The 15,991-nt window shown below is 35.5% G+C and overlaps 1 long non-coding RNA gene across 4 annotated transcripts in view; it reads right to left on the minus strand.

Annotated features, from left to right (window-relative positions):
* The window catches only part of LOC107984606 (uncharacterized), an 84,462-nt gene that overhangs the window by 36,532 nt on the left and 31,939 nt on the right, over positions 1 to 15,991 (minus strand). For 2 of the 4 annotated variants that reach the window (XR_001749994.2, XR_001749993.2), the window contains one exon: positions 7,492 to 15,562. The exons of the other annotated variants lie outside the window; for them this stretch is intronic. This is a non-coding gene — a long non-coding RNA (uncharacterized LOC107984606). Of the gene's footprint in view, positions 1 to 7,491; positions 15,563 to 15,991 lie in introns of those variants that run through there. 4 annotated transcript variants of the gene reach the window in all.

Raw genomic sequence — 15,991 nt, forward strand, 5'->3', positions numbered from 1 at the left:
TTTAGATATCAATCATCAGATGTTGTCTGCAAGACTGTCATTTCTATGAATTGGAAACCCCACTTGAAATTTATAAATAAAAACAATTTACATTTTCTGCAACTCTTGCCCTTTAGAAACAAAACTTATGAGGGAAGCATTTCAAGTTATCTTTTGACTTTACAAAAATGTTATTTTATAACACTAAACCTTTTTTTTTCTTTTCTTATTTTGTCACTACAGCCCAAACTAAGAATCCTGGTTTTGAAAGATTTTTGTGCCTCTGCTTAATCCCTGGTCATTTGCTTTTCTTTATTTCACATTTTGCTCTGGTTTCACCTTCTTAGCCCAATCATCCTTTATTTTTAGCCCATACTTCACTGGCTATGCCATCTGGAAATATTATTAGATGAGTAAAAATTACATTTCTGCTGAAAGACTAAGGATTATCCGAAACATTATTTGATGATGTATCATCCTACAGAATGTAATACTAAAACTGTCACATACTATGTCACACTAGCACCAACTATCATATCACACCTGCGTAGGCCTCTCCATCAAGTTCTGATTACTGTCAACAAGAGGTTAGCGATGGAGGGAGAGAGTCAAATTTGTAGAATAATGGCATCTGACATGTCTCTGCAGCTGGCAGAGACATGCAACAGATGAAAAGGTAGCACATAATATAACTTTCATTTCTCAGCAAAGGCATATACTCTACTGTGGAACATTTCAACAACTGCTTATGACTTCTGTTAGATTTTCCTTTTTCTCCTAAAATGCAATTAAATACAGGAAGGCTGTTCTATATTCTGTATAAATATTTGTGACAATTCAAAATGAGCACTTCCTAACTATTCACAGTGCAGTGAATTTTTTCCTTCTTGGGCAAAATCCCCATTGCTTTTGCATGGTCTGAATTTCTATGTTCAAGGTTGAAACCTCTTTGCCAAAACATCTCATCTCAATCTCCTAACCTCCTCTGTCTCATCTTTGAACTTAGAAAACGAGATATTTCTGCTTAAGTGTGAGCTAAACAAATGAAAACAAAATCCTTTTGTATGAGCCCCCAAAGTGGAAAAGTCCTACTTGCTGGCTGCCTGCTGATTTCTGATTGTACTGCTGTTAATAAGCACAGAACCTCTCCTTATGTACTTTGCACTTAAATCCCCCTTTGGGATTTAGTAGTAGAGTGGGATGGAGGAATGTAAACTTCCTTTATTTTTGAACTCTCATTTTCGGTCTTTCCCTAGTCCATAGAGAAGATGATGAATCAGAATGAATTGATGAAAAATATAAGACACTCTTGTAACCCCGTTTCCAGAGAATATCTTATGACTATGTACATTTAATGTACACATAGATCTGTAATACAAGCTCTTCATATCTGCCATAACTTTCTGATTGCCCAACTATGGTTTGGAAGCATAGATCACGAATAGCATTTTATCTTTATAATTATTCATAAAGGTAAAGAGTTTCTGCAAATGGGTTCCCTTTGGATTTATAAATGTGAAACATTGTTTCCTTCCTAACTGGCAGGTTTTTGGGAAGAAAAATTTAGAATATATCAGATTAAAATAGGATGCTGAATACTATTTTAATCAAGGACTGTATCAAGGACTTTAAAGTATCAAGGACTTTATCAAGGACTTCAAAGTATCCCTGTTGTATAAAGGACTCATACGTGCTTACTCATATCCTATGTGTTAAACATTTGGCAGTGGGGCTTTCAGTCAACAATTGAACCTATAAAACGACCTAAGATTTTGTTCTTTACGACATCCAGTAGTCAGACAAGAATCTGTAGATACTGAGCTTTAAATTTTAGCTTAGTCAAGTTTGATGTATTTTGAGATGCATAATAGAAGTGTAAAGAGTTTTACTAATTTCCAATCACAAAAAAGTGAAGATTTTTGCTAAAGAATATTAAAGTTGCAAATTTAATATTCTGGCAGGCTTATACCTGCTGCAATATTTTGTGCTGGGTAGGCGTGCAATAAATGTTGGCAGGCTGCATTCATAAAGTAAGACAATCACTTCATTATTTTAAACATGGTTTATATCAAAGCCTTAAATGTACAATTTAATGTTAGGAAGCACTGGTTAAGATTCTAAATATGCTATTCATATGTTGGTCATTTTTTTTTGCATGTGATTTTATGCTTTTAAAAAACAAAAGAAAAAAAAGCCAGACCTCTACCTCAAAGAAGGGCTTCAAACATTACTGGAAGCGTTTATGACAAAAGCTTTGATCCCTCTGCACATCCAGTAAATACAAAACATTACTATGTTTTAAGGATGTGCTTATATGCCCACATTATGACTCTAACAAATGTTTTAAACTACATTTTGAAAGTTATTGGTTTGGTAAAGTTCCAAATACATTTCTTCTTAAGTTACCAACACTAACCCTATGAGCTTCAAAGTATGATGATTTTACATATTGCAAGGGGTTATGCATGCAAAACTTGACTCTGTTTCACAGACATATTGTGTCGTGTTTCAAATAATGAAAGTGCAAGGTGAATAGCTATAAAAATTAATGCACACACCCAGCAACTTTGATATAAGCACTGTTATAGACTAGCTTTGCACGTGAAGTCTGAAATTAGCTTAGAATACAATGGGAAATGCCTTATAATATTTATAATATTTTAGTGATACTGTAATTTCTGTTTAGTTCCAGTATGGCTAAATATTTTATACAAGGATGAGATAATGTTTTAGGACATACTCTAGAATATCATTTTACTTCTTTCACAAATTTTATCTATTCTTGGAAGCTGTTAGTGGGTGATTAGCTGTACAATGTTACAGCTCTGGTCTGACAGGTAGACTTGTGTGGTCATAGATAAACTAAGAAAAATGGATTTACTACTTACATAGTTACCAGTATTATTGCAATAAAATCCCCTAAACTATTTAGAACATTGGAAATACAGATCAGGTAATGGTATATACCAAAAAGTGAACATTTGCCTATTTTTTTAAAAAAAACTTCTCAGTTTTATTGACTAAAAGCAGTGTAGAACCAGTAAAGACCTTAGGGATCATCAGATGGTTATTTCCAAATTGTGCTATGCAGAGTCTTTGTCCTCTACTGTATGGTGTCAAGGACCTCCGAAGGGCAGGACATGAGAAGAACAAGTATATAGGATACCAACTATGTTTATTACCCTTTACTGTATATTGGGGACTCTGTGCAAACTTTGTTTAAGAGAAAGAGAGAGAGAGAGAGAGAGAAACAGAGAGAGAATTTCCACTGCTTAAACAAATGAAACCAATTTAAGGCAATTTTCTCTGTTTAGAGATAAAACATACCAGTGCTTTACAGGGAGGCAAAATGATTTCTTTTTGCTTAATTGTGCTTGTTTATTGACATTTTACAATTCGGTTGCCCTCTACAGCTTCTGTGGTTTTGAACCTATATGGACTTAAAACAACACTGGTTGTTGTTACATATACATATATTACAACACATCGGTTCAATTTTAAGATATACAACACTTTTAACTTGTTTGTTATTAGGAGTCAGAATATTAGAAAATGGTATACTGTGTTTTCGATTTGTTAGTTCATTTTATGTGTTTATTCAATCAGTAAACTTTCAAGGAGGGCTTCCTTTTGACAGGTGCTTGGAAATTAACTATAAATTGGAAAAACCTACAGGTAAGTATATGATTATTATAAATCCTTCAAGGATCATGACAGAGGTGTCTGCAAAAAAATATGAGGAAAAGGAAAGGAAAAACCATACGTAGGGGCAAGTGAGGGTGGGGGAGGGTGTATGAAAAGCTGATTCTTGGTTCGGGAATTTTCCTTAGAGAGACATTGGTTAGAAATATGAACAGAAATTGGAATGGTCCAGGTATTTAAGGCCAAGGACTTTTTCTCAGATGCCCTTTGGTGAAGACACTCCATGCTGGAACATAAAAGTAAGGGAAGTACGCGACAGGGAGTGGAGGGCTGAAGCCCACCTTCCTGAGAAACTGCCTTCTGCAGCTTCAACTCCACCTTCGTCTTTATCCTTTCTTTCTCTTTTTATCTTGGATCTTTCTCGCGTATCAGAGGCCGGGGGATTTTGAACAAGGTTGCTAGCTGCATTTTTTTGCAATAAAATGCTGCTGGATATTGATGACCAAACTTTATAACATATGCTTACATAATACTGCAATGTATGTAATATGAAATGCCATTATATGAGTGTATATTATAGTAGTAGATAGTAATAAGTTTTATATAGTTTTTGATAATTTAATGAAATGTGTCCACTCATCAAAAGAGCTGATGAATCCAGTGTGAAGGAGAAACTGGTAAGCAATAAGGATTGGCTAAATTTGTGGTACAGGGAGCCACTAGCAGAACAAAGCTGAACAGGAGGGTTCAGTCAAGGAGCAGAGGCTGGCTGGCCAAAGAATCAGGCAGGAACACAGCTGTCTTACCAAACAGAAGGAAATGGAAGGGCCACATCTTCATTCAGACAATTGACTAACCAGGAGACAGAAAGGATTACCGTAAAAGGGTCTGATTTGTAGGTGTCAGGTAGCATTCTTAGCTAACATTATTATGATTTGGTTTATGAACCACAGTGGGAGAATCATCTCATCCAGAGACAGGAGCTCTTGTGCAATTAAACTGGAATGAAACATCTTGTGTGTCCTTTTTACCTACCTCTCCCTAACCTGTTCCCACTTACATACATTTGTTTTCTCTTTTTCTTGGCTTATTTCTGCTTAACTTGTCACAGCTCCTATCTGAAGTCCTGGTATTTCGCTTTGCCTCATCTCCTACTTCTGTCATTTGCATGATGTGCTGATTTAAATATCCATCTGCTGACTTTTATCACCACCCATTCTCAACACAATTCTGTGCCTCAGAAATTGTAGGCTTGCCATGTTCTTGTTCCAGAAACCACTGGGACAATAAAGTGAGCAGATTAGATGAACTACAGAAGGGATGGGCCTGAGGCACAGCGGCCTGCTCCTCTCCCGGATCTTGCTAAGGCAGGGCCCACCTTCCTCCCTCTTGCTTGTTATTCCTTGGACAATGCTTGTATTTATGTGGAATTGCAGAGGACTTAATGTTGCCTTTCATATTGTAAATATGTGGCATTGTGGCATCCCACCTTAGCTGCTGGTATTTTCCACAGTTCTAGTAAATTTGACTTTTTATTCCCCTGAAAGCAAATTGTTTCACAATAAATCTAAATCCAAATTGAGGGATTCTAGCACACATCACATTTAGGTAAATGAGTTTCCCATGATATTAACTGATTTGGGTTCAGTGAAGTGGAAAGCACGATAGTGGTAGGAAAACCGTTTTCATGTAGCAGAAAGAGAATGAACGTGGAAAGAGCACCTTTGAGTTTGATTCCAGGCTTGGGTGAATTTCTTACAATTGGACCTCAGGTTAAGTAAGGATAAGTAAGTTGGCTCTTGAAGCTTAAGTTTCCCTACCTGTTAAAGGGGATTATTTACAGCCCCCATCTCACTGAGTTTAAGTAATAATTAAATGCTAGAAACAATATAAAAGTGTCTAGTTAAACACACAGCATATTCAAGCACCCAATGCCCACTTATTAAGAAAACAAAGTGTTTATAATCACCTAGGAAGCAACACTGGGGAAGTGGAGTGTTTTGCAAAATGATCTCAAATCATGGGTGCCTCTAACTAAACCCAATAGTGTATATAGTGAGCTTTGAGATCCCAGGTTGTAAAGTTAAAAATATAAATGAAAGACTTTGTGAGCTTATTGGATCCTAACATCTCAAGTGTCATAGAGATATCTGAGTATAGCCGACTGTATCATTGGAGAGAAGGGATGAAGTTTGAAAATATAAACACAGGAGAGATTTTGCTATATGCTAATGCATCTGCTGTATAATTTTTGCCCTTCAGATCATCACCCTTTCAGAATTTTATAGCATATCTTAATTCTTTGTGAACTTATCAATAAAATCTGTACTTAAATCTTTGGTATTGTATCTTTAGGAAGTAATTCTCACAACTTTGATTAAAAAGTAATGTTTACTTAAAAATTAGATGTATCATTGCAGAATAACATTTGGCAAGTGTAGTTATTAAAACAAATTAAAATTTTAGTGATCTCCATAATTTTATTATACAAGGTTTAAAATACGTATATCTTTGAAAATTAGAAGGCTCATAATCTGAGAGAGAGGGAAAAATTGTTTCTAGAAGTGATGCTTGGAAATTTTCACCAAATTAGATGTGTTTATAAAACAAACGTGAATAATTTCCATACATATTTCCCCGTAGTTTTTGTGTCTAATTCTTACATTTTCATAGGTGGATGAGAGCACCTTACCAGTCTATAGATGATAGATTCAGACACTCTGCTTGGGATGATTTTATAGCTCCCTTTCTAAAGAAGCTCATGTTAAGTAGGTTAAAGAACATGTTTAATAAACACTCTTTGATGAACTCAGATGCCATTTTATAGAAGCCTTCAGTTATTTCACTAATATTTAAGACAATGATTTTTTAGAACTATTTTAATCAAATGTTTAAAATGTTGAAGTCATGTGCTTAAGAAAGGAGATATTTTATGGAATAATTCATGTCGATCTTCTTTATCAGGAGACTATTCCATTGACCTCAGGCAATACAGCATGTCTTGTGATTGTTCTCTAGTAAAAGCTATAACAGAACACTTAGCCCTCAACTCTCACTGACCTTACTTAAGGTCAATGACACATGAGTGAGGTGGTTAGCTGAAGCCAAGAATTCAGAAAATGTCTTGCTAAATATAAAGGTATTTTCTCAGAATTAGTGAGCATACAACAGGATCAACATGTGGACAATGGTGTCATTAGCTTTCTTTAGGAGCTAAAGAAGGGATATTTTGTTCTGTGCTTAGTTTCTCTATGAAGACATCGTAGAACCACTGTGTTTTGTTTCAGTGTAAGATATTTCTTATCTATGGTTGTTTTTCTCTTTAGTGAGCTCATAAACTTTTGAGCAATAAATTTTGCTTTTGTGATCCTCTCCTTTGAACTATAAGAGATTTAGTACCACTATTTTGTTAGGGCAGCCCAATAGACTAACATAAGTTTTGGTACTGAAAGGTGGGGTGTGGCTATACTTAAAAATGTGAAAGTGGCTTTGGAACTGAGTCATGGGCAGAGGCTGGAAGTGTTTTAAGGCTCATGCTAGAAAAAGCCATGGTTGCCATGAAGGAACAGTGACGGAAGCATGGATGTGCAGCACTGTTCACTATAGCAAAGACATGGAACCAGCCCAAATGCCCATCAATGATAGATGGGATAAAGAAAACGTGGTACATATACACAACGGAATACTATGCAACCATAAAAAGAAATGAGATCATGTCCTTTGCAGGTACATGGATGAAGCTGGAAGCCATTATCCTCAGCAGACTAGCACAGGAATAGAAAACCAAATACCGCATGTTCTCACTCATAAGTAGGGGCTGAATAATGAGAACACACGGACACAGAGAAGGCAACAACACACACTGGGGCCTTTTGGGAGGTGGGGGAGGTGAGGAGAGGAAGAGTATCAGGACAAATGGCTGATGCATGCAGGGCTTAATACCTAGGCAATGGGGTGGTAGGCGCAGCAAACCAGCATGGCACACATTACCTATGTAAGAAATCTGCACATTCTGCACATGTATCCCAGAACATAAAATAAAATTTTAAAAAATGGCATGTGAAAGGTCATTCTGGTGAGGTCCTAGACAGAAATGAGGTTATAGGAAACAGGAGAAAAGGCAACTCTTGTTACAAAGTGGCAAAGATCTTGGCTAAATTGTGTTCTGCTATGTGGTGAAAGGTAGAACTTACAAATGATAAAATTATATATTTAGCAGATGAGATTTCTAAATAAGCTATTGGAAGTTTGTCTTAGTGCCTCCTTACTGCTTATAGTAAAATGCAAAGGAGAGAGGTGACTTGAAGAGGCAATTGTTAAGCATAAAGGAGCCAGAACTTGGACATTTGGAAAATCCTTAGGCAGCCATAGAGCAAAAAATGGGAAAGTTTGTTCAGAAGAGAACACTGAGAGTGTAGCAAACAGCTATCTGATGGTGAGACTCTTGGCAGCCTGAGCAGACTAATATGGTTATAAACACATTTATGCACCTTATAATTTAACTTCTTATAATCTCTTGGAATCCATGCTCTTCCATTTTCTGAACTGTGATGTTATCATTGCCTCTAGTATTTTTCTTTTTGGAAATATCCCCTTAGTCCTTCAATGGTGATTCAGATATCTCTAGTATGAAGATTGTTGTTAATGACAAGCTATATATTAATCAATAAACTAATTATTCATTCATTGATTCAAGTGTATATTTCATCCTTTTATTGTCAGCCACTGAGATAGACATTTTACCTTCAGTCTTCACAGCAACCCATGAAGGTATTCTGTAGTTGTGAGAAGACACATAGCTATTCAGACATAAAAGACAAGGATCTAATTCATGATCATTGGAAAATGAAAATTTCTCCTCTTTCTACTTATGAAGACAGATGAAGGAAGAAGAAAAGTAAGGCTGACACTTCTATGTTTCAGCCAGTGCTTCTGTCTGCTCTGTGTGAAACTTGTGGATTTTTATTAATGCAAAGCCAGGCCCGAGTGGAATGTCAAATGTTCTGCCTAATAAAATGCAGGGAATGCAGGTTCTTGGAAAGATCTAAAGGGAAATAACTTAGGAGAATGAAAATCTGAGATTTTTTTTTTTTTTTTTTTTTTTTATGGTGGAGAGTTTGGGGAAGGACTCAACTATCACAGTAAGTAGGAGTCTGGAACCTACAAAAAATGTGACAAGTGAGGAATTTTCATAGTAAATGAAGGACTTGCAATGAGAGAGGTGTATACTTTTCAATTTTGAGTTGTTTGTGTTGCTATCATTTTAAACCCTTGAATCACTTCGAACACTGTATGAATGGTTTATCGGGAGACCAAGGAATAAGGACTTTTTCCTTTTGAGAGTTAATACAAAGCAGAAAATGGAGAAAAGGGTTGTCTGTCATCTTGGCTCCATGTGACATTTTCATGAAGACAGGTGATATACTTTATCGGAATCAGGGCATTGGAACCAGAAGTGACCGTTGCATGTGGAAGCTTTGGGACTATAGCAGCTTGTTAAGGCTGAGGTAGCAAAGTACCACAGAATAGGGGATGCAAACAACAGGAATTTATTGTCTCAGAGTTCTGGAGGCTACAGAAGTCCAAGACCAAGGTGTTGGCAGGGTGGGTTCCTTCCAAGGACTGAGAGAGAAAGATTGGTTCCAGGCCTCTTTCCCTGAATTGCAGATGGCTATCTTCTCCGTGTTTTCCATTAACCTCTGCTCTCTATGTGTCTGTGTGCAAATATGCTCTTCTATCAGGACACAAGTCCCATTAGATTAGGGACCCAGCCATAATGACCTCGCTTTAACTTAATTATCTCTTTAAAAAGTTATGTTTTAAAATAAGGTTGCATCTTGAGGTACCAGGGATTAGGATGTCAGCATATAAACTTTGCAGGTACCCAACTCAGCTTATAATAGAGATTTACAAAAATATTGGGATTGCTTTTCCTCTAGGAGATCAGAGAAAAATATTGATCCAATGTCTAGTCACAACAGATAAAGTGGCTTCCACACATATCTTGTTGCACAACCATTTTAAAGATTTACAAAATGACATTTAGTGAAATTAATTATATATGACCTAAGACTCACAGCTTATAACCTAAGACTACACATACACCAAGTTTATACACAAACTAAGACTTAGCTTTGACACAGGATTAGGCAAAGTCTGATGCCCAACTTTGTCTAATCTTGAGGCAAAGCTAGATTCAAACCCAGGTCTCTGATTCCAAAACTCTTGCACTGTCAAATCTATCATTCTTCCTCTAAGTCACATTCAGAAAGAAACATCCAATGTATGCATTTTAATATGTTTAAGCAACATTTACAACCATTATTAGAAGCTAATATATCCTCCAGTTACTTAAAGTTTTTGAATCAAGAACAAATTATAATAAGAAGCAATTTCATCCGGAGTAGTTTCTAGCAATAGTTTTGATCTCATAAAAAGTAAAGAGATTTTACAAAAAAGAAAGGGAGCACTCTGTGAGTAGATACATGTCTTTAATTTTTATTCATTGCTAAAAGTATGACAGCACTTTGAATGTATGGCTTAAGACACATTTTAAAAATTTCAAAGAAGCAATGCTCTTATTATGTTCATTTTCATCTTAGCACTGACATTTATTATTGAAAATTTATAACAAAACTTAGTCATGATAATATGAAGAGAACTGGTGCATTTCCAAATCACATTTATTCTCTCATAGCATTGTAAAGTTCTGTTACCTCAATCACAAATAACAGAAGATCCTGATTTAAGCCATGGATTAAAATTATAATCCATTAAGAGACAAATGAATGTAAATAAAGTAATATCAGGAACTTTATTTTCAGGGAATTTAATTCTTAAACAACAGTTCTTATACCGAGTTACCTGGAATTCTAGTTCTAGTAAACTTTAAGATCTGAAGACTTTAAGAGATTCTGTGTTCATTTATGCTTGGGAAATAAATGAATAGAATTAAAAGGATTTCTTTACTGTAGTACTTATCAGAGGCCAAATTAAGTCACATTTTAAAAGTCTCCAAAAGGGTAATATGATATAGCACATGCTGCAAATAGATACAGTTATAAAACTCATAGAGTGAGGGTCATGCTACAGGGAGAAGATTTTTTTAGAATACTCTTTCAAAAACGATTCCAAACACATCACAAAGTAGTTTCAGAATCAATTCACTTCACGAAGTGTTTATTAAGGGCTCTTTGCATTCAAAATATCAGGCTTGGTGTTTGAAGTTTTAGTTTGAGAATAGGGTAGAAGTATTATGCATACACACGTAAATAAGATGGTGTATTTTTAGAGGTTTACTGGTGTTTGAAGGTGTTTAAAAGTTTGAGAAAAGGGCAGAATAATTATGCATACAAACATAAATAAGATAGCTTATCAATAGAGGTTTATTCCCCAGTGGATTCATTTACTCCTGTACATAACATTATTAAGCAATATTTATGAGCAGTTAAATGTCTTATACCTGCTATACTCATAGTGTAGTACATTGAAAATTATTGTTCACAATGATTGTCTTCAATCAAGGAAGAATCATAATAGAGAGAGAAAACTATTTCCTCTGCAGTTTTAACATTCAATGAACATTATTTTATGCTATTTGTTTTGTTTTGATTAAAGGAATAGAAAAAGCCAGCTAAAATGTTTATTGTTTACTAACCTATAATTGCATGCATTCATAAAAATAATGTGATATGCAAACATTTATTCATAGAAAATATTAAAAGAAATATATATGGAGATTATGATGTGTTAATTCAAATATTTAATAATGTTGAGCACAAATTTTCTACATATTTTGGCAACATCATAGCTTACTGCAGAAAATTCATTTTAGAGTTATCAAATAAAATGCTGATAGGTAATTTGCTCCAAAAAATGTTCTCAGGACAGCCTAATAACAAATTTTGCATAGCATTTAGCTAATGAAGCATTAACTATGTTCCATCGCTTTGCATTATTTTGAAAGTCAGAAGTATTTATGAACATTTATAAGGATGCCTTTTACATCTAGAAATTGATGTAGTAATGTAGTCATTGTAATTAGAGCTGTACTTTAACTTGGTGAAACGAAGAGGAACTAAAATATAGGAAATCAAACCTGAAAGGCACAAAGCAGCCACACAGAGCAAAAAGCAGTGGCCGGTAAACCCTTCAAGCAAGAGCACTCCCTCAAGAAATGAAACCGATGGTTTTTACCTTGACTGAAAAGACTTCAGGAGGCACCATGATACCCCGGCAAAGATCAAGAGTTTGAGATCCAAACAGCTTGGGTTTGTGTCCTTTGTCTACCAACCACTACATTTATGGACTTGGTCCAGTCATTTCATTTGTCTAAGTATAAAGGTCCTCATCTGAAAAATGAGAGCAATGATCTTTACTCTGTAGGGTTGGACAGATAAGCAAGGACTAATGTGTGCTTGGTACTCAGTGCAGAGACCAGTACACTAGACTCTGCACTTGTATGCCTACCATGGTATCTCTAAAAATGACCCAAATCTTGGTTCCGAATTAAAATATTATGCATTTTCCTACAAAAGAGGCAGTTTTTATTGCCAATAAAATAGTTTTAAATATCCCAAAAGAAGGTTGGAGAGAAGCATTTTCCCCCTAAAAGTTAGAATGAGTTTTTACCTCTAAATCAGAATAGAGATTACTTGAACTTACTGGGAAATTGTCTACATATTTCCTACTTTAAATTTCACTTTGTATGTGCTATTTCCTATACATGTGGACATTGTCTTTATATTTTCGTTGTTTGCAGAGGTTATTCATTGTCCTGGCTACCCACTGTCCTGTTTATAGTTAACAGAACTAAAATTTTGTAAAGGGGGAGTAAATCATGTTCTCTACACAAGCAATCCAAAAACTGAATGCCTGGATGTAAAATATGTGTAGTGTAAATATGCTCTATTGGTTAGTGGCAGAAACAGATAAGATCTAGCCAAGATTTTTATTAAGTAGCTTCATTAATTCGTGCATTCCTTGGAGAGCAGTATAGACAGCAAACCAAGAGTCAATTAAAGTCTACTCAAGCCACCTGAAATGATCTGTCAGTCTGGGATCACCTCTTCATTTCTGTGCATTTCTCAGGCCATGTAAGCAGCTTGTGAAAATCTGGTGTGATTGACAACTATGAACTGTCAAAGATATTAATGAGTATACTATCACGCAGCTGCCAACAGACCCTGTGTAAAAGAGAGCTGGAAAACACAGTTTTGCATCTACGAATTAGAGGGCATATTTGGTTTTAAAATTATCTTTGGCTAAAAGCATGTAAAGTATTTTAAACTAGCAAGGCATGAGAGGTGAGTCCGTTCTTCATATCATGCCAATACGTGATATGCAATTTAGCAGTAAACATCCTAGGAAACTCTGCCCTTTATAAACCCACAAAAATTTGAAGTTCACACAGTCAGCTCAGTTTGAAAATATATCTATTATTCAAAAGTTTCAAGCAGAATACAGTTTTTTTCGTATCTACAGATATCAGGGCAAATATGCATTTAGTGCCTGAATTGCTTGAATAAAATACCTACTATTTTCTATTTTTCTGTGAGTACGTAGGCATGGATTTAGAGGGTCATCTCGGACATCACATTTTTACATACCTGCGCACACACGCACACACTATTGTCTGAATCAGTTTTCAGGAATTCTACTGAGAAAACAACCACGGGCATGGAGCCCCTGTAATATATATTTGAATGAAGCTCATAAGAAATAAGGATTTGGGTCTCACTCCTATGGGAGATATAAAGAGAACAGTACACTGACAGCATCCTTGTACTTAGCAGAGTGGATAAAAATGTGCATAAATTTACAACAAAACTATTTTCAGTTTGCACTGTAATATTTTCTCAGATTATTTATTTTTATTGCACTATGTATTAGACTTACAATAGGGTTCTGTGACCAACACGAGGTAATGGACAATGTCTGAGGAAATGGATAATGAGGATGAAGGTAACACACAGGTGCACTCATGCAATTGAACCATTTATTAAGTTTATTACCTTTTTTATTGCATTCACCCATACAAAAGCTACATTGAAATGAGGGAAAAGTTCTAGTGCAGGCCAAAAGCAAAGAAATGCAGTGTTAAGGATGCACTTTTATTTTTGAATTGCCCCATTGGAGAGTGTATATAGACATAAAACACAAATTTTATTTCTCCAAAATGAAAGAGGGGACTGGGAAATTGAATGAAATTACCTACACAAAAGATGAAGTATATTCTTGAATTCTACAAAACTGAGCTACAGCATATGTCATTTAAAAATAAATAATGCGATCTACTTATGCTTGATGTGTGAGATCTATTACAAGGAACCCTATTTTATGTATTTTATTAATTTAAAACAAAATGTCAGGAATAATTTCCTAAATGGCCTCCTGGCCTAAGTCAGGGTTCTGCAATGTACCACAAACGCCAAAATGACAGAAAAGGTGATTTTGAATGGCAGGGCCAGGGTGGCCTTAGGCAAAATATTGAAAAAAGGTGGATATCATTGTCCTCCCTCAAGCAACCCCATTAGCACAACACTTCTCCGTTCACGAAGCTGCCTGACCTCAACCCCAGGCCCTCATCCCAGATTCCAGGCAAGCCTCTGTAAAACTTCAGAAGTTCTTGAACCAGTACAGGTTGAACTGAAGGCTTTTATTAGCAAGAAGTTGCCCACATCACAAATCTTCCTCACCTAAGGGCACCTTCCTGATGCCCATTTCAAATCCTGACCTGAATATTGAACCCTTTACCTAAATCTGAATAAATGAAAACTAAGCATGGTATCTTTAAAAATGAGCCAACTCTTGGTTCAGAATTAAAATATGATGCATTTTCCTAAGGTTCTGTTTCAAGTACTGTGGTCCGAGCATGGCCCAATGGACAAATTGAAAAGTCAGTCCCCTCCTCTGGGAGGAACTATAGAGTGACTTCTACACAGAAGCTGTTCTATGAATTCAGCCTCTTTAAGTTCTGTGATCATCTCTGGGAGAAGTTACATTGAGCTCCTCCTCATGTCAATCTGCAATTGATTTCAGGTACTCAATAACAGTATCATGCTATTTACAACTACTGTGGGTTCTTGATACATTTTTTTCATGTAATTTTTTCAGTTTTTTTCTGTTTTTCCTTTTTCCTGTAACAACCAGTTGCATGTACACATCATTTAGTACATATATAATACACACAAATTCACCTTGACATAATTGTTTTTATATGAGGGACCTTTTCTATGTACTTGTAGCTGATCCCGTGCCTTGGAAAACCAGCTCGTCCATGTCTACAGTTTTACCAATCACCTCTTCTAATTCTTAAAATGCAAGAGGCATCCCTCACACAAATTTTATTCTTTATTTCTAAACATCTATCCTTCTCACATGAATATGAAAGAAAGTTCTCTTTTATTACTTTTTTAACATTTGTCTTTTTTTTCTGTAGAATATTGTTTTTATCGTCTTTACTTTCTTAATTTTGAGTAGACAAAGGGTGAAAAATAACCAACTGTTTGTTACAGACCCTAGCTAGGTGGCTGGCTGAGTTAAACATCCCTGACTTTAAGAATTGAGGTACAAAGTTTGTGATCGGTGAAAAGGGACCAATTTCCATTTCTATATTCATGCATTCTTTAATGTTTCATAGTAAACATAAAATGAAAAGCCTAAAATGTAAGGCTTTTGTGGGTGGTTTCACAGTGGTTTGCTAATGGCAGTTTGAAAACTGGCACTCTTGACAGGTCAGGACAAGTTTATAGGTCTATATGGGATTGTGAAAACAAATTTCATTCCCCTTTAATCAGGACACAGTTGTCAGTTGGGTTCAGTAAGGGTCTGGCCAATCGGGTCACTCACAGTCTCTCAATCATCACAGAATTAGTTGGTTAGGATGGCTGCTGTGAAACCCGGCTTCCTGTTATCTCCTAGGCAGTGCTGCTCACTGATGCTAGAAAGGCATGGTAAGAAAAAAAAATTTAGTGAAAGAGAATTTAATACCAAATTGTTGAACCTAAAATATCTTATAACATTTAAGTTCTTTTCCTGATTTCTGAAAAAAAAAAAAAGCATTGCAAGAGCTTGAAAAATATAAAAAAAATAGAGAAAATGCATCAACTTCACCTGTTATTCTACCTCCATTGATGACTATTGTTATCAGTGCATTGTATATCTTCCAGTTTATATAAATAGAAACATACTAATCTGTTATTTATATTATATTATAAATATTTTTCTTTCATAAAATTGGAAAAATAGTGCATACCGTTTTATCTGGTTTTTTTTTTTTTTTTTTTTTTTTTTTTTTTTTAATGGAGTCTCTCTCTGTCATCCAGGCAGTCTGGGGTGCAATGATGCAATCTCAGTTCACTACAACCTC

Source organism: Homo sapiens, chromosome 13 (genome assembly GCF_000001405.40).
Source record: "Homo sapiens chromosome 13, GRCh38.p14 Primary Assembly".
In the NCBI taxonomy this organism is placed as follows: Eukaryota; Metazoa; Chordata; class Mammalia; order Primates; family Hominidae; genus Homo; species Homo sapiens.